We start from the raw sequence: 19,902 nt of genomic DNA, 5'->3' as shown, positions 1-19,902 counted from the left end.
AAATTAGAGTGTGGTAATAATATAATAAAGCATAGGAGGCTGTGGGACCTCAAAAGATTGACATTTACTTCAACCTTGGGGATAGAAGTGTCAGAGAAAGTTTTCAGGTAGTCAATACTTGAGCAGAATTCTAAAAGTTATATTGAGTTCAGAGAAATTGGTATATTGAGGAAAATTTATAATTTGGCAGGAGACAAGGGGAGATGAGCTGCCAGTGTTGGTCTGGGACATGTCATGAAGGACCTCTGACTCCATGCTTACCCATAGGTAAAGGGAATTCATTGGCTGGTTCAAACAGGGGGAAGGGTCACAGGACAAGATTTGCCCCAGATAAAAATTACTCTGGTACCAGCCTCTGAGGATGCATTTGAAAGAGGAGGACAAGTTCAAGGGAAAAGATGGCTGTACTCATTTGAGAAGTTTTAAGCATTTCGTCCATGGCATGTGCAATTGATTGTAAGATGCTATATTATTTTATATACTAAAAGAAGAAAACCAGAATCTTAATTTTCAGATGCATCCCAATTCCAGAAATGTCAAAATGTGAAAAAATATGTATTTTAGACTTGATGAATTGCAGTAAGTACTTAATAAATATCGGTCAAAAGAATGCATGAATCTTTTCTGTCCGTGTCCTGTGTAGATTTGGAATAGAATAAATACCTGATAAATGAACATGACATTTGATTTCTAAGTTGTATAGCTTCCCTTAGTTTGACAAATGAAAATTACGAAAGAGATCAGTTACTGTGTTCCTTGAAGGCTTGTCCTTCTGTTGGTATTAACAGTCACTCTTGATAGCAAGAATTTTGGAGAAAAAAGGTTTGAGAAATGGCTGAATGAGGAAACTATGCTATGAGAGGGTAACGTTATTCCCTTTGGATTTCAGGCCTAATAGTGAAAGCTGTGTTTGAGAACCTACTGGCTGCTTGTAGGTCCATCATATGGTTCAAGAGGAGGAGTTTAAAAACCAGTGGTAGGGTCATGGCATGATTGAAAAGAAATATCGAGGGATAATTTAGAGATCTGCCCTTGGGGGCACTTTTAAAGGGAAATTGCTGTTTGTAAGCTGCTCTCTCCTGCAGCAGCTGGGTATTTCCTGAATCTAGGGCCTTTCTTGTCTGTTTTCCCCCTATATTTGCTCAGTGGGATTCCAGCCAGGAATGTCTAAGAGACAAGGGCAGCTGGGTCTGCACTGACCGCGAGATTGTATTTTGCTTCTGCGGCTGTTTTGCTTCAGCTTGCACCATTTGGGGGCACTTCTACAGGCAGAATGCAGCAAGCACTGCCAAACTTAGATAGATTCTTTGCATTCTCCATGTGTTCGTACTTGTGCAACCTGAGAAAGTGCACTGAGCTAGGAGAGAGTGGGCAAGGCAGGTGGTGGAAAGTGCTGTCTGCTCTTAGACATACTGAAAAAGTGGGCCCTTTTACAGTGGTTCCTAGAAATGCCTGCATTGTAAAGGGAGAAGGCTCATTTTTTTTTTATTTTAAAATGTGACAGAAAGCTTGTGGAAGTGCTTTCTTTCAGATAAATGGTTATTACTACCAAGGATTATTACTCTTTTTGCCCAGAAAATAGTTGAAAATTTCCTCACTGATGAGACAAAGTATGCATTGAATACACTGAATACAGTATGATAACTGTATTTTCTTTCTTTCTTTTCTTTTTTTTTTTTTTTTTGAGACAGAATCTCGTTCTGTCACCCAGGCTGGAGTGCAATGGCACGATCTCGGCTCACTGCAGCCTCCACCTTCTGGGTTCAAGTGATTCTCCTGCTCAGCCTCCTGAGTAGCTGGGATTACAGGCATCCCCCACCACACCCTGCTGATTATTGTATTTTTAGTTGAGTCAGGGTTTTGCCATGTTGGCCAGGCTGGTCACGAACTCCTGACCTCAAGTGATCCACCCACTTTGGCCTCCCAAAGTGCTGGGACTTCAGGCCGAGCCACTGTGCCCAGCCTGTATTTTCTTAATAATAAAATATGATCAACGCTGATGGTCTTTGGGAAGATGAAGGAAGTGCTGTTTTCATATGCTGAAAGTGCTACACATTAATTATGTCATTCTGCCTTTATCTGGTCTTGCTGACTCCATCCCTCTCCTCCCCTTTCTCATAGCCACCAGTTTAGACATTGTGACCAGATTAAATTTCTGGAATCACCCTTTTCAATATACAGTTTTCAAGTTTCAAATGCCATTCTCTGGATCCTTATTGTTTTATCTTATTGTCATTTGTATCACTGTCCCTATTTCCCAGTATTTCCTGAGTGCCTGTGTCCATCTCCAGTGTCCTATGAAATGTAATGGGGCATATAATGTAATTTCTTTTTAATGAATTAGCTGATTTTGTGAGGACTTGAAAGGAGATTTTGAGCAATTTGTTAAAATTCTAGTTATTCTTCAGCAATTATAGAGTTTTGGGAACTTCTGGATTATGAAGTTCTTTTCTTGCAGACATTAGCAGGTTTTTCTTGGTGTCTAGGTTTTTCTAAGCATTGTCCTTTACATCTTATGGTCATCAAAAAAAATTGTCCTACAGGTGTCTTGTGACAGAAAACAGAAATAAATATTTTTGGAAACTGAAGGTTGGTTTGCATCTGTTCACTGATCACAGTTATTGTTATATACTATAGGAAAGGGTAAGACTTTTTCATCCACTATTTTAGATTCAGTACTGGGGGCCTACAAGTTAACTGAAAAAAGACAGATTAACAAGAGAAAAGAACAGATTTAATTACATACATATGCATGGAAGTTCACAAAGAAATATAACTTAAGGAAGTGGTTAGAATTGGGGGCTTATATATACCATCTTAACAAAGAACAATAAATTGTGGCAATATGACAAGAGAAAAGAAAGGGGTTTTGGACTTCTAGGGGTACTTATTTATGTGAAGATAAGTATATGGGGAAAACTAATGAAAGATAAGATTTATTACAGTCAATTTTGTTTATGCAGATTGAAGTCAGTGCCATCTTCAGCAATAAGAGTTGCCTCCTCTTCCTGGTATGGGAGAGGAAAGAGAGAACATCTTCACTGAGGAAAATTTATGCCCTGACTTTAGGCAGATACAAGGGGAGTAGACAGCTTTATATACATCTGATGTTTGTCAGTTGCCTTTAGCTCAAAATAATTCTTATGCCATCATGGCATGTTTTAGACTGACAAACATTGATCCCCTTCGGTACAAACACTGTTCCTCTATTACACACACACATGGAGATGATAAGACAGACAAAAATAGTTTTTGTCTTTTGGGCTTACAGTCTAGATGAAAGACAAATCATCCCAGCGAAGGTGATTTATGTGAGATAAATGCATCTCACATATTACAAATGGTAGATGCATCCTCTGGGAAGATGTTAATTAGTACTGGAAAAGTGCCTCAACTTATTCTCAGATCACTCAGGCAAGTCACAGCTCAGCATTTGTTTATTCTGTTATGAAATGGAGGTGAATATACACTTGCCCAGCTTGTGTTGAAGGACCGTTGAAAGGTCACCTAAGATTCTAGATATTAGAGTCCTTTCAGATGATCAGTGTTTGGGCTCCCTTTCCTATAAATCACACATGCACAAAGCATAGTATCTAGTTTTAGCAGGTTCACAACATCCATGGGCACAGGTTAAGAACTGCTGGATAAAATATAGCTCCAGTCCAAGAGCAGAATAAGCCAGCACAGTTATCTCATGAAGGATAGGTGTGAGGTTAATATGCACCCTCTCTGCCAGTCAGAGAAGCAGCTTGATGGCCTTGAACTTTCAGCTGAAAGCTAATGTACCAAGAGGTGAGATCACCAACATCACCCAGCATCATGTTCTTCCTCTGGAGGCAAATGCCAAGTGCAGCATGGCAGTTATTCAGCAGCTTCTGTGAACCTAACCAAGGCATTTAGTTCCATTAATTGAGTGGCTGTGTGCGAGACCCTGTGAAATAGGGGCTTTTCATAGGCATTTGCAATTTGTAAACAACTGCTCAGTCCATGAGGGAATGACGGTGAGAACGAAAGGCCTTAAAAAGAGATCGAAGGTGGTTACTGCAACCAGAGGTACAAAAAGAGGCTGTAACCTTGCATAGTTATTATTTATTTTCTACTTTCAGTCCTACTTGTGCTGCATTCAAACACGGTGTGGCAGTAATTAACACTGAGTGAAGGTTTGACAGTTGGGTGGCATTTTAATAGCTAAACGAAAGTACCGAGAGTAATTACCCGGGATCTCTTCCATATGGCTGATCATGCACTTGCACTTTTGGGCAGAAAGAGGCACCTCACTCACTAGGCTTTGCTCCCCTTTGGTAAATTCGTGCCACAAAGGCTCAGAGGTCTCCTCACATGTTCCCTGAAAATCAAATGTGTTGATAATGGCTTGGCAACTGAAGGTGCATGAGAACCTTAATTACTTTGGTAGTCAGGACCACCTTGTCACACAGCTCCAGAGGAACCAATCAAGATGTATTTGCATCATGTTGTATTGTATATGAAGGGTGCCTCTTGGGGTTGTGTGCAGAGGCACATCAGGTTGCCAGCCTCAAAATAGATGTAATGGGTTGGCAGAAACAAGGGGCTTCTCCAGGGAAAGGTTGTCAGGGAATTTGTTGTAAAGTTTCAATAATGAACGGCTTTTATGTCTTGATGCTCTCTGCTTCACTATGTGGCTGCCATATTGCCATTTCATTGGAAACCCTGATCAATCCCCTAAGTACATGCTGGTAGGAGTACCCCTGTGGGCTGGCTGCACTTCAATTTTAACACAAACATTGGCAAATGGAGGACATTATCTTCCTAAAAGAATCTCCTGTGGCCACATACATGGCACAGAACAGGCTACTCTATGTTCCGTTAAATGATTCATAGATCCCCTAATGATGGGTTTAATGGGCATGTAACATCTGTCCATTAAGATTATGTCCTCCCAGGTGCTCTAAAGTTTCCATAGCAAGTGCTCTACAAATGTTGGTACCTCGTGGTGTCTGCTTCTTGAGACTGGGGTCTTGACTTTTTATTCATAGATCTTTAGTGTACAGTACAGAACTGGCACAGAGCAGGCACTCGGAAAATATTTTTGGGAATTATTAATGTGCAATTGAAAAATCTGTTTATGGTTGCTGACACAGACTTGGTGAAATGAGCTTTTTGTATCAAAATTTTCTAAGTAATAGTGTTAGCCAGCACCAACGGACACAGTTTCTGGTACTTCCATTGCAGAAGTCACATTCCCATTGTTTTCTGGGCAGTAGGAAAAAAGATGGCATTTTTGAGGACCTAATAAGTACCAGGTGGTTGTGCTAGATCCCTTGTGAACAGATTGGAGATTGGGCAAATCCTGACTTTAATCACTTATTTGTTGTTTTGGGGCCTCAGGTTTCTCTTCTATAAAATTAAAATACTAATGTCCACCTTAGAGAGTTCATGTCAGGATTACAGAAAATGCATGTAAGTGCTTAGCACATAGTAAGTATACAAGAAATGAACACTGCTATTAATCAACTCCTTTGTGTAACACTGAGAACTTACTGTCAGTTTTGATACTGTTAAAAAACTAGAGATACCAATAACATTCAAAAACTGTATGTACTTCAAGTAGCTTGCAGTCTAGAGGTGGAGTTAGGCACTTAAACACATAGTTACAATACATGGCAAGTGCTATAGTCAAATACTGTTAGAACACAAAGGAGAAGCAACTAAGCTCTGCTGGGGAGGAGGAAATGGGATTTAGGAAGGGCTTTGTGTACACGATGCTTACTCTGATTTGAAGATGGAAATCAGTTTTTAAGGAAGTTGTTTGTGAACAGACTAACTGAAAGCAGTTGAAGTAGAACACAAAGGTAGTGTGTGTGTGTAAGGATGCCTATGTGAGTGCTGAAGCAGTAGGGAAGAAGTCACCCTTTGTGGGAGACACAGTTCATCCCCAAGACACTAGGAAACTCAACAAAGTAACATAGATTGCTCAGTCACATAGCTAATGCGTGGCAGGACCTGAATTTTAAACTGAAATGATTTCTACAATGACCAGTGCTCTTTGCATCTTTTTATACCTAATTTTAAAAATATGTAAGTTACTACATTTTAAAGTGTTCTTTGTATTACTTCTTAGAGACCCCTAACCTTTTCAGAAGAGTATCTCTATTCAATAATGTGTGTCAATGGGAAGTTGTTATGTTTTATAAAAATAAGATTCTAAGCCAGGCCTTTCTGTGGTGGTTGTTGGACATCTCTGCCCAGAGGAAATTGATTAGGAGGGATAAGATGGCACTAGAACTGGAAGCTGAGGGCAGTCATGCCAGCTCTGGCCCAGGCCAGTCTTTGTATTGAGTACTTTAGGATATATGGAAATCACCAAAATACATACAGGCTGTTTAATTATTTTGTATCACTCCTGGAGATGGTCAAGTAAAATAAACACATTAAATAGTCAATTAGTTCACTGGCAGCAATCTTTCTTTGGAAAGATCTGCTCCCCCCCGTCCCCTCCCCCCACACTCCTTGCTCACCTATATTTTTCTGATAGTACAGTCATTATTTCAGTTCTGTTGGAGTCCAAGTTCTGAACCACTAGGCCATTTTAACTGCAAATTTCTCCTGAGAACATACAATCACTCTATCCCCACCTGTAAGATACCGCAAAGGGGAGAACTAATGTTTCCTGGCCAGTGCTAATTAGAAACTTCATATGCCTCACTCCTAGTGGTTTGAAATTCATAATCCTACAGGTGGCTTTGATTTAAGCCAAATAGTTCTGTTCAAGAGAGAAAGATTACTGTAATGACGCAGATTTTTCACTTCAATTGTTGTCATTATTCTTAATTCATTATTTGACTTAATAATCAGCTGCACAAAATCCATCTCTTCCTAAAAATATCCCCAGACACATACTCCTTAAGTTTCTTATCTCATAAAAGCATTTGAGTATAGTGACTGAGAAGGGCACATGAGAGGGATTTTGAAAGAACTATCCCTAGAAAGATTTGAAACAAAATGTGGAAGATGTAAGAGCCGATGTCAGGTTTTGGAGATGTGGCTGTAGGCTTGCTTTAGTTACACACACTGGCAAACACTGGTATCTCAATGTAGGAGACACTCTATCTACTAGCATTATGTAGTTAGCATTGCACTATAGTATGGTTAATGACTGAGTGGAATTCAGTAATTAAGAGTGAGAATTTCTGCACTAATAAAAGACACTTACCTCTACTGCCTCTCAAGTAGGCCTTCATTTCTGAACTTTGAACCACTCCTAGAACAGGGAACTGATAGTTTAATTGTTGGGTTGCTTATGTCTGTTTCCTCATTCTTCTAAATTGAAGCTGCCCTCTTAATGATTAAATTATTTTTTCAAACTTTTAAATTGTAAAATATGTACTGAAAAGTGCACAAAGCAAACATGCTCAGCTTATTTAATTAGCACCAGTGTGACCATCTCTCTATTTAAGGAATAGAATTGCTCTATTATTTGCCTCACAGAAAAACCTCCCTAATCCAGAGACCTGGGAGGAGCAGGGACATTTTATATTGCTGAAAGGTAAGACAATAATAATTTTTGAAGAATCTTATTCCCTTTTAGGTTTAGACAATAACTGAGAAACCCTGGAGTGGCAAAGTTTTTCAACAGAGGTCCTGGAACACCACCTTTAGCAGAGAACACTGGCTTTGATAGAGATGTCTAATTGTAATTAGCAAGTGACTGGATGTGAATGATACTTGACTGAAGATTTTTAAAAATGAGATTTCCTTTTTTATGTTATTACTTTTCTTGAAATCTATTCTATATGGACAATAGACAATTAAACTTCTGTTCAGCTCTAATTTCAGTAATTGCAAATTCTGAATGAGTAGAGGTGAAATAAGAAGCATTTATTGTGTTTGAAAATTAGGGCTATAAATGGTATAGGTGAGCAATACACTTCTGAATGTCTTTATCAAAACATCCCTGTGGGTAAAGAAGAGGAAACTGGAAACCCTAGAGATTCTGGTGGACTGACTGAGAAACCTCCACTGCAAACCAGAAATTTGTTAGCATCTTTGTGTTTTATTTTTAAACTTGATACAAACTTATTCATGTTTAATTTAACATATTAAAAAACACCACGAACACCAAAGTTTTTATGGAAAATAGGCTTTCCAAAAAGATATGCCGTGGTTGAATGCAGCTTCACAGATTCTCTGGGACCCAGCTGGTACTCTCAGAGGAAGGTATATTTAATGATGTGAAGATACATGTATTCATCTCTCTCCGAGTTATTTATTTATTTCACAAGAAAAAGTAAACAACAACTTATAAATATTTTCTTGTTGTTGATCTTGGTAAAATTATTTACTTAACCAGCATTTATGAAGGTCCCCCTGTAGCCTAGGTACAGTGCATGTAGCTAAAGATATTAACATGAATGGAGCCCAGCTTCAGCTTTGGAAGGAGCAGGAGCATAGCTGAGTGGGGAATACGGATGTAAACAAGTTATTACATCAGAGTCATTTATGTATTTGTTCATTTGCCTGGGAGAAGTGAGGCCTCAAACAGCATTTTGTTCAAAAAAATGACTGGCTTATATTCTTTATCGCATGCATGTCTGCCATTTTGTCATAGCCATGTGTGTTCAATACTTGAAATCCATTTGCCTTATGAAATGCTTACGGAATCCTGATTTCTAGAAATAATTTAAAGTTTGCTGAATGCATATGCTGTCCTATAAGTGATAGGATTGTTTTATCATTTCTGACAGAAATGATACATGCAATTAACATGTGTTCTTTTAAAATAATACTATTAACAAAGCAAGTTTATCCCCTCTACTGATATCTCTGTCTGTGTACCCAAATCCTGCAGGTATTTTAAAGTCTAGCTTGGTGCCCACCTTTTCCATTCAGCTCCGCTTGACTGTGTCAGTTTGTATCGATTTCCTGCCTGTCTGAACTCTCTTTGCATTTATGTTATGTTCTGCTTGTCTGACTTGTTAGAGCAGAGATCCCAAACTCCATCCTTTCTCCTTTCTTGAGCAGGGTTCTTGAGAAATGGATGATGGAGGTTCCTCCAGCAAATGTTTCCTCTGTGTTCCTCGTCAGAGTGGCTGCCACACACCTCCGTCTAGTCTCAGGCCTCTGCCCTGACAGTCGTGAGACTCCCTTCTGATTTCTCTCTTAACCCCTAGGCTGAGAGGGCCCCAGGTTTGCTGTGAATTCCTTTTCTTCTAGGGCCCAGCTGGTGTCCCCTCCCACTCCTATCCCAGTATTTTCAAAGCAGTAGATACCTCAGTCATCAGCCCACTGAGAAGGCAGAGCTACTTGTCCCCTTTGGCTCACTCTTCATTCTTTCCACTAAAACTCCATCCTCAAACCAGTGGCCTTAATGTACCGTTTTGACCTCCGTGTGCCCTTCATGTTTGGCCACCTTTGAGTGTGAGCTCAGTTTGTGATGGGTATGTTGTATTTTAGTGTTACTTGATAAACACCGACTTAATCATTTCTTTGTATTTGGCAAAATTCCTTCATTCTCTTTAGCTCATTTTAACTTTAGAATAACTTTAGTTCAACTCTGAGAGGCAAGCAGGCTGCCTTTATTCTTATTTCTACTTGATAGGAAAAGACACCAAAGGCTAAAAAATATTAGTGGCCTTGTTCAATGTCAGAAAAATTATAAACGATGAAGTCATTTTCAGTCATGTGCTCTTCTAAAACACAGTTCTTTTGCTTCTCTTCATTTATATTTCATGTATTTTAATCTATTTTTACTAATCTGACATGTCACTTGAGGGCCAGCTCATGCCATAAATATCTGAATCCTTTAAAACACCAAACAGTTCAACTTAACCAAACATTTATTGGATATAAAGTGTAGTCATTTCCTCATTTAGTGAGAGTCTTTATGTATTAGACTCCCCGTTGGATGTTTTCTATGTTTCCCCTCATTCTCATCATATCTCTGCTGGGTAGATTTTATCAATACTTTGGTACCATTAATATGCATTGGGATAACTTGGGAATCTTATTAAAATGTTAATCCTGATGCAGTAGGTCTGGGCAGGGCCCAGATTTCTGCATTTGTAACAAGGTTCCCAGATGAGTTGGATGGTCATGGGTGCAGTCTGAGTAGCATGCTGTTTATAGGTGAAGAGACTTTGGCTCTAAGAGATTAAGTGATTTTTCAAAGATAACACAACTGGAAGTGGTAAAGCCTTATTCAAATGCTGATCTTGCTCCCTGGAGAGTTGCCTTCCAAGTGCAGTAAGACAGATACATTCAAAGCGATCTTTGGAATGTACTTTAATGTGGAATTTACTCTAATGGAGTGTAATGGGAGGACCTTAGGTAGGAACTATGATTTGAATCTGATCTCAAAAGACTGGTAAGGCTTTGACTGACAAAGATGGGACAAAAGGACTTTTTGGATAGCAAGAACAAAAAGGGAACAAGGACACAGAATGCGGGAGTGTACAGAACATCTTCTGGGAATGGTGAGCTGGAGGCTGTAGCTGATGCCTGGGGAGAGGTGTGCTGTAGCTTTAAAGGGAGGCTGAGGTTGGATGGGAGAGCAGAGTAGACCGGGGAACCACTGGGAGATTTGGAGGACAGTGTCTGTGATAGCACATTGTAGGTGCTCAGGAAATGTGCACTGGTTGATTGAATGTAATCTAGTTTTTAGTCATCTGTTGCCCATGTTGCACCATTGAGATCTCCACAGAATTCTGTGGCCTGGCTGAAACGCCACAGAATTACCCCAAGATGACCTTTACTGTTGTTTATATAGAGCTTTCTTAATAGTCTCTTTGCCTTTGGCAATATAGGACATATTACTTTTTCCTCCCTTTCCAAATTTTTTTTTGGCTAAGAAAATGCTGCTTTTGCACAGACCAATAATACACATTCTTCTTAAAAGAAGCATTGTTCCTTCAGTAGCAACTTGTAATGGGAAAAGTGGAACAAAGACAAAATGCAATTCTGGTCTGAATGGAGACCAGTTTTTCTTTGTGTGAATAACCAGCATTCCAGTCAGGTTGCCACAGTGATGCTGAGATTATAACTGTTCATGCCAGCAGTCAGAGAACGTTGCCCAATTAGTTATTCTCAGCTGCTAGGTTACCTTGACAGTGGCTCAAAAAGCAGGTTTTGAGTTCAAAGACACTCAAAAAAGAGCAGTCGAGGACTTGCAATTCTGTTGCCCTCAGTGGGGTGCAGAGACCACAAGCTCCAGCATGCTCTGGTTTAGGCCATGTAGGTGTAGTCAGCCTTGTGAACGTAGGCACCTTGTAAAAATTCTGGTCTTTCCTTGCCCCCTGTATCATCAGCCAGCTTTGGAAGGGATTTTACTGTTTCTGGGAGCTGCCTTCAGATATTGCACATGGGAGACAGTGAGGAGAATGTATGTTTTGGCATTGGAGGCTCTTGTAGCCTCGCTTTTTTTCTCTTGTGAGCAATCTACTTCACAGGATTGATGCAGAGATGAAATAAAATAACCTTTGCAAAATACCCTGCATAATGTCTGGGGCATGGGGAGACATTCAGTGTGAAGCAGTTCTTCTCAAATATTGTTTCAAAAGTTACAAAGCATTATACAATATGATTATTATTATCATCAGTTTCTGGTCTTTTCTATTCTTTCAGTCAGAGTAGAGTAGGATAGGATATGGTAATGAACACTCTTAGAGGCTTTATATAACTAAAGTTTATTTCTCGACCATGCCACATGCCTAGAGTGGGTCAGTAGAGGACTCCATTCATCAGCTATCCAAGTACCAGACTAATGGAGGCATCATGTCCACATATGCTTCCACAGTCATCACAATGATTTGAACTGTCAGTCACATATTCCATCTGGAAGTGGAACATCACTTCCATGCACACTTTATTAGCCAAAGTAAATCATGTGGCCCCAGCCAGCTTCAAGAGGGGTAGGGAAGTGCCATCCTATAACATGCCAGCAGGAGGAGAAATAGAACATTTATTCAGGCCGGGCACGGTGGCTCATGCCTATAATCCCAGCACTTTGGGAGGCTGAGGCGAGGGGATTACCTGAGGTCAGGAGTTTGAGACCAGCCTGGCCAACATGGTGAAACCCTGTCTCTCCTAAAAATACAAAAATTAGCTGAGCATGGTGGCATACGCCTGTAATCTTAACTACTTCAGAGGCTGAGGCAGAAGAATTGCTTGAGCCCGGGAGACGGAGGTTGCAGTGAGCTGAGATCATGCCACTGCCCTCCAGCCTGGCTGACAGAGCGAGACTGTCTCAAAAAAAAAAAAAAAAAAAAAAGATGTATTCAACAACCTTAGAGACTGCCACCTCTACCAAAGAGCAAAAGGCTAATGGAGAAGAGTCCTTTAAAGAAGGAATGTTAGTTAAACATAAATGAATAAAAATATCTGAACAGTAAACTTCAAAGTAAATCAATTAGATTTCAGCTGCTTCAAACAGAAAACTCAAAATATTAGTGGGTTAAGGAAGATAGAAGTTTGTTTCTCTTTCAAGATAAAGAAGTTCAGACATAGGCAGCTTAGCGGTAGCATGGTAGCTCCATGATCGTCAGAACCATAGGATCATTTTATTGTTCCGCTATAACAATCTTAGCATAAGGCTTCCATTCTTAAATTCACCTCAGGATCAGAAATGGCTGTAGTGTTCTAGCCATTACATCTGCATTCCAGGCAGCAGGAAGGAGGAGGGAGGAAGACAGAAGAACCCTTCTCCCAGCTAAGTCAGCTCCATTTGGGCAGCCCTTCTGAATGCCCCACACAGTAATTCTGCTTACATACCATTGGCCAGAATTTAGTCATGTATTCATTCCTAGCTTCAGTGGGACAAGGGCATGTAGATTTTGAGCTGGGTGCATTTCCTCCCAAATAAAATTGGAATTTTTGTTAAGGAGCAAGGGGAGAATGAATATTGGGTGGCATTGATCCATCTCTGTTACAGTAACTTAAGATGCAAGCTTTAGTTAAGTAGGAATGACACAGAAAAGATTGCTCTATACACTGTCATTTTCCATTCTATGCTCTGCAGAATATCAGTGCTTAGAGGAGATACAAAGCTTCCTTAAGGAGTGTTCTGTGGCCAGACAAGTTAGGAAAATATGAAAAGCTTTGCCCTGTCTTGGAGATTCACAGGGTACATTAACACATTAAAAGCTTTGAGAGGCCTTGCAGTAAAGAAACCCCTAACCTGCTAATCTTTTTAACCTAGTGTTCCCAAACTTATTTGACAGTGGAAATTCAACACCCATGGAAATCTGGAGGGACAAAAGGACTGGCTTTAGCTTCTTGAGTCTGCCAAAAAGCTTTTAGATCCTTGAACAGATGGTATAAATCCCCCGTTCCAAAATGTTATCTGCCTTGCAAAACTAATAAGCAAGCAAATAAATTTGTATGTCCTTCACGGTGGCCTAGCCATAGATATAAAAGCTTGAAAAAAAAATAGATGCAAATGAAGCCCTGTTATTAACATCTGTATGAGATTTATAAGAGTTGGTATTGGTCAGCCATCTGTACCATTACTGGTGACACCAAGTGATGGACTAAGATTGGTTTGTACCTCTGCCAGATGACAGGTCCCTGCTCCAGGTAGCTATTATTGGGCTCCTGGCTGTTCCTACATGGCTCTGGGCCATCTCACCCTTCTCTGGAAATGGGAGAGTAACAGATGATCTAATCAACCAGCCAATATTTCCCTACTCATAGAAAAGTCCTGGGCCCTTGGCCGAAAGGCATTAACCCTGCCCCTTTCAGTGTGCACAACTCTTGCCCTCATCAGAGGTTCCCTCTGCAAAGGGCAAAGAAGGAAGCTCACTGTATTGTGAAGAGGGGTGGGGACAGGTAGGCAGCTGGTAAAGGGGGCCTCATACTCCTATTAGACTTAGAATAGAGTTAGGTCCCTTTTACCTAAAAGTTTCACCTCTGCCTGTAATCAACTTCATGGTTGCTTATAGGTGTAGGAAGAACAGTTGAAAATTCTTTCAAGCAAATAACGTGTCATTGGTCTGTTGTAAGCAGGTGGTAAATGAGTATCTCTGGGGGAATGGTCCCGTTAAGGCTCTTCTTCCAAAACAGAACCTTGAATTGTTTCCTAATCTTTCTTTCTTAATTATTTAGGTAACCAGCTCTTGTCTTTAAATCCATCTCCTGCAGTTGCTATCTTTTTCTTCATCTAAGTATCTTCAAAAAGGCAAAAGGCCAAAATATTTGCTAGTCTGGTTCCCATCATTTCCACCTCGTTTTGCTGGAAATACTGGAAAGTTACCCTGTCCTGACAGGTCTGGAAGGATCCCATGTTTGCAAATCTTTGTAAACTGTATGATACATTTTCCCAAACAGCTGTATAATCTCTGCAACAACCTGATGATGGGAGGGAAGGGACCAGGTTGAGCAGGGGCTGGGGTTGGGGGTGGTCATGTGCATATTGACCTTTAAAGCAACTTGCGTGTGTGTGTGTGTGTGTGTGTGTGTGTGCGCGTGTGTGTGTGTGTGTTTTGACCAAGTTTCGCTTTTGTCGCTCAGGCTGGAGTGCAGTGGCGTGATCTCAGCTCACTGCAACCTCCACCTCCCTGGTTCAAGCGATGCTCCTGCCTCAGCCTCCTGAGTAGCTGGGATTATAGGCGTGTACCACCACGCCCAGCTAATTTTTGTATTTTTAGTAGAAATGGGGTTTCACCATGTTGGTCAGGCTGGTCTCGAACTCCTGACCTCGTGATCTGCCCGCCTCAGCCTCCCAAAGTGCTGGGATTACAGGCGTGAGCCACTGTGTCCGGCCTGCATGTATGCTTCTTAAAAGACTTTTTTAGAAGAGCTGAGAAAAATTACAGGAGGTGATGGAGAGAGCTATCCTTCTCCAATATCTGTCTTGTGGCTTAGTACCCTGAAGAGTTTTCTTAACTTGCCTTATGGAGTTGGTGTGCCTTTCTCTGACTCTGAATGTGTTAGAAAACAGTCTCTGAACACACAGTTGGGGCTTGTGCATTCCTTGTGTGCACAAGCAGGTTTGTAGTCGTGACTTGGGAATTTCAGGTCAAGAAGCATGAGAAGGGCTGGCCAGTGAATCCCAGCAGCTGACAAAGGATTAAAATAGCTGTGCTATGCACCAAAATCAGAAAAAATATTCAAGTCAGTGTTACAAGAAGTCCTTGGATTGTTCTCTTTTTAGTTTTATATTCTTAGTTGTATATACTTATTTATGCAATGTAAGCTAGTAGACAATAATCAATTTATGTAGAATTATTTGTTTTCATCTGTAAGGAAATAATTTTGAACTGAGCTAACTGTGAGTATGAATATGCTAAGTCTGTGAACCGAGAAAAATATATTTTGAAAATATTATTTATCTTTTATGCTGATATATATGCATGTGACCTACTAAATGGACTGTCAAACTGGCCATGTGCACTAAATCTTCTTACATCATTTCTGGAAATGAATGAAATCGATTTCTTAACCCAACTACCTAGATTTTGCAAAAGAACAGCAGGGCCTGCCCATCCTACCTACTGTCCCTGTTTCCTTCCTTTCCAGGTCCACTTTTTGAAAGGCAATGGGTGATTCCATCGGTTTACTAAAGGGTGAAATCAAACAGAAGGAAAAACTAGAAGTCAAAAGACATAGGTCTTCATTTAACTCTGCCACTAACTAGGATAAGACCTCAGATAAATCACCTAAACTATCTTGCTGGAGAAATCTATAACTGCATAAGTATATAGAGCCTGTCTGGGCCTCTCTTTGCTCTTCTGTAAAATGGGTAGAGATATTTTATTGATATGATCTCAGAAATCCTCGCTGCAAATGTCACAGACCTTACCGCATTGTGGCTGTCGGTGGAAGAAGTGGTGATGTGAGGACTTGCTCCATCCAGATAATATTTATTGAATATCTCTGATGTCCCAGTCATGATCGAGGTATTGGAGATACTGCAGTGGACAAAACCAATAAGAGTTATTCATTCTTGGAGTAAAGAAATTATTCTTTCTTGAGTAAAGAATTTTTAGCGAACACTTTTTAAGCACTTACAATATGCTAGATGTTGCTTTACACATTTTATATATATTAATTATTATATCAAGTAATCCAGCAAAGTGGGTACTACCATTATCAGTATTTTATAGTTGAAGAAACAGGCATAGAAAGATTAAATAACATGCCCAAAGTCATATGGCTAGAAAATGGTGAAGCTGGGATTCGATTCAGGCTTTTGGCTGTAGAGTCTGTGGTTTTCACTATTATGCTATACCGCCTCTCACTGTCAATTAATTGGTTAGCTTAAAGTAATTAGCATTCATCCTAGCTAATGGCAAAGTAGGAAAAAAAGAAACTAGCTTTAGATAGAAATCTGAGAGCCTGTTTGCTCTCCCTCTCTGGGGCTTCTGGCTCTGATAAGAGGCAGGGACACCAAGCAACCATGGTATAGAAAACTTCTATGCTCCCAGCCATTTGGCTCATTGTGGTTTCCTGTCCTGAGGTCACTGCCCATTCTCTGGCTCTATTGTTAACCCACAAGGCCTTCAGCATCCCCGTAACCCCAGGTTAATTTCAGCATTGGCCATTTGTAGAGAAATGAGTAATAATGGACTTGGATTCAAAATACCTGGATTTGAATCCTGGCTCTACTATGAACCAATGTTGTCATCACCTTGGGAAACTTCTCTTAATACCACCAGCAAGAGCAGTATGTCTGTAGCCATTATTTATTAAGCACTGCCATGCATTGTGCTAAATGCTTTATATATGTTGTTTTGGATTCTCAGAACCATCTTCCATGACAGGTATTTTTACCTTTACTTTACAGTCTGGTCTTGGCTGCTGTCTCTACCACTTACTGTTTAATCTTGGGCAAGTTACTTAATTCCTTGACGCCTTAGTTTTATCATCTGAAAATTGGGGTTAGTAATACCTATTTCTCAGGTTGCATAAGGAAGAAATATGAAAATGTATGAAAAGCATTTAGGCTATGGCCTATCCCAATGACAACGATAATGCCTATTATAGCTTATTGTATAGCTTAAGGTTTTGCAGTGATTAATCCGAGGAGTGATGTTTCAAATCCAGTTCTAAAGGCCGACTTTGTGAGGACAGGCTGGAGCTGCAGGGTCTTGAGTGAAGCAGCTGAGCGGGGAGGGTGATCTAAAGCAGTGTCACTGCTGGCTGCTGCACATTAGCAGGTGAAACTAAGCAGACTGCAAACCAAACAGGAGGTGAGGAGGCTCCAGTCTCCCTGTTCTGAGAGATGAAAGCCAAACTGGAAGCTACCAGTATCGAGGGTTAGTTCCTGGAGGTTTGGCTGTGTTCTGCCAGTAGCCAGCTGATCATTGAGGAGCTGGTATTAGTAAGAGGATACCAACACTAGCCAGGAACAGCTCTATCGGAGCAGTTTGTGTCCTGGAATCAGCCTACACTCAGGACAGCCCTTCCCAAAAGACGATGCTTGACACAGGGAGCTGGGGAGTTACCTAGAACATTCATACGCAGGATGCGACATTGTAAAAATGCAGGCCAAAGGGCACTTTCCCAAATTACAGATGAAGAAAACTGGAATATGAGGGGTGAAAGAACTCTAGTAAGGAGTGGAATCCAGACTTGAACCCTAATTGTTTTGGACCAGTCCTGTGATAGGTTTGCATAGTTTAATTTGTCCTACACTGATGATCAAGTAAGAAAAATCAACAATCAGTATTTTACCTACCTATAGCCATATCTCTCTCATCTATCTATCTATCTATCTATCTATCTATCTATCTATCTATCTATCATCTATCTATCTATCTGTATATATTTATGTTTTTTACTTGAATTATCTATTCCAGTTGAGATGACTTCTTTGGGCCAGCAGGTTAATGAAGATATGCTTCTGGGCTATATTCCAGATCTCCTGGATCAATACTCTTGGAGCACCTTTTCTCATATGCTGCTTGTCGTTATGATGATCTAATCACTATGTACGTGTAGTAAGTTGCTCATGTCTGCTTCCTTCCTTAGATTGGAAGCACCATGAAGCAGGGGCCATGTACCCCACTGCCTCTACCTTGGACAGTGTATAACACACAGTAGGTGGCGAGGGAGGGTGCCAGGTAGCAGTCAGGGATTAAATAAATCTTACTGTGTAAAGCAAGACCTTTGACTCTGCAAACCTCTACTGCTTTAGAAGAGGGGAAGTTAAAGTAAAAAATTACCTTTGAGGGAACTTGCCTGGCTGTGAGTGCAGCATAAACTAGAATCTGGGGGTTGTTGAGTCAGCACAGTTTCCTAATGCTGTACTTTCGAAGATGATGTTGAAAAGCCTGAAGCCTCAAGATAAATGTGGAGAGTTCTCCTACTGTTCCTGTTTTCTTTGTTCTGTTTTGCTTTTGTAAGCATATGCTTGTCAGTTAGGGCTGAAACCAAACAAAACAGCTGCTAAATATGGTTCTAAAAGAAATAACATTTTGGTCTTCTTAAGGCCCGTAAGTTTAGAGTAAGCACAGTCGTTTGGCAGATGTCAATAGGGAATCCGGGGGTAGCAGTCATTCTGGGAGCACTATCAGCCATCCGTATTCTGTTGGGTGTATTTTACCCTGCCAGAGGACTGGTGGCCTCAAGTAAAAGATTCTGTCACAGAACGGCTGTGTCTTTAAGAGGCGTTTTGGAGGAGGGGTGTCTAGAGTCTGTGTAGGCCATTTGCTCATGATCCGTGTCAATTTCATTTTCAAAGAAGTGGGGAGGCATTGGAAAGAATATGTATCATCTTTTATGATGTGAAGGAAATAGTCATCCTAGTTACAGACTTAAGTTTGCCTTTTTCAATCTTTGGGATTTAGCCCAGTGGTGTTATTTAGTGTTCTTATAAATCCAGTATCATTCAGAGGACCTGGAGGAATTAAAGCATAACCTAGTGGCAGGGAATATCAAACCCTAGATCTTAAATCTCTCCTCTCTGCTGTGAAGCTGGGCTTGAGCCTGCCAATGCCATCTAAATTTCATCAGCTGAAAGAAAGAGTATTTATTTCAACATCCAAGGAACCCCCAAAACTTAATGCGCCTTCTCAATTGTCTAACTAATTTTTAAAGAGACATACATTTTGTCCATAAATACCTGACTCTGTTTGCTAAGCATGTGGTGGGTAATATTATTGGTTGAAAAGCAATAGGTTTTCGTTTACTGGCCAGATTAGTTTTATTGGCTTTTTTAGTTGAAAATCTATAAAATGCGGACTGAATTTTACTGTGGCATATTCTTTGTTTATTACATGAACTCATTTTCAAAGATGAAAAAGAAAAGGGAGGAAGAAAATGAATATTTATTAAAGTCCTATTACATATCAGGCCCCAAGCTAGTCTAGACACTCACAGTTCTCATTGTATCTCCCAAGGGAGGTAATCCTGTCCACATTTTAAAGATGAGGAAACTGAGGTTCAATGCAGTTCTGAAACTGGCTCAAGGTTAGAGAGCTACCAGGTGGTAAACCAAGGGCTGGGGATTATGGTTCCATGAAGCTATGATATAGTGATTAGGAACTCAAGGTTTGGAGTCTGACCATCTGAGTCAACATCCTGGCTCTGCCGCTCATTAGTAGTGTGACCCTGACTAAGCATTTAATCCCTCCGTGCCTCCATTTCCTAATCTGTAAAACAAAGATAATGATAGCATCCACTTGATAAAGCTGTGATAAATGAGCTATTCATGAAAAATGCTTAGAATCGTTTCTGACACATAAGTCCTCATGAAATGTTCACTATTACTGTAATTTTTATTGTCATGACTAACCAAGTTTGCTTTTATCAGTACTGGCTGAAAAATTACATTTTCTTTCAAGGAATAGTCTACCTTTTGATATGTAGTTATATTTCATTATGAAATAATGTAAACTACTCTACCTTAGAATTAAATTCTCTTCTCACCCTCCCAGCAAAGGTTAAGATCTGAATAAAGGCATGTGTGGCCAACAGGGATTCTTGACT

At 40.3% G+C, this 19,902-nt stretch overlaps 1 protein-coding gene across 9 annotated transcripts in view, besides 1 other annotated feature; it reads left to right on the top strand.

The window, feature by feature from the left end:
- The window catches only part of TNIK (TRAF2 and NCK interacting kinase), a 401,995-nt gene that overhangs the window by 65,946 nt on the left and 316,147 nt on the right, over positions 1 to 19,902 (top strand). The window lies entirely within an intron of this gene.
- Positions 9,894 to 10,440: an enhancer, noted in NCBI's record as "OCT4-NANOG hESC enhancer chr3:171101812-171102358 (GRCh37/hg19 assembly coordinates)". NCBI's record gives its function as "activates a minimal SCP1, AML or CMV promoter by ChIP-STARR-seq in naive H9 embryonic stem cells {active_cell/tissue: H9 hESC(naive)}" and the evidence as "EXISTENCE:reporter gene assay evidence [ECO:0000049][PMID:30033119]".

This window comes from Homo sapiens, chromosome 3 (genome assembly GCF_000001405.40).
Source record: "Homo sapiens chromosome 3, GRCh38.p14 Primary Assembly".
Taxonomy (NCBI): Eukaryota; Metazoa; Chordata; class Mammalia; order Primates; family Hominidae; genus Homo; species Homo sapiens.
The sequence above is the reverse complement of the archived record's forward strand: the minus strand, read 5'-3'. Positions and strand labels throughout refer to the sequence as shown.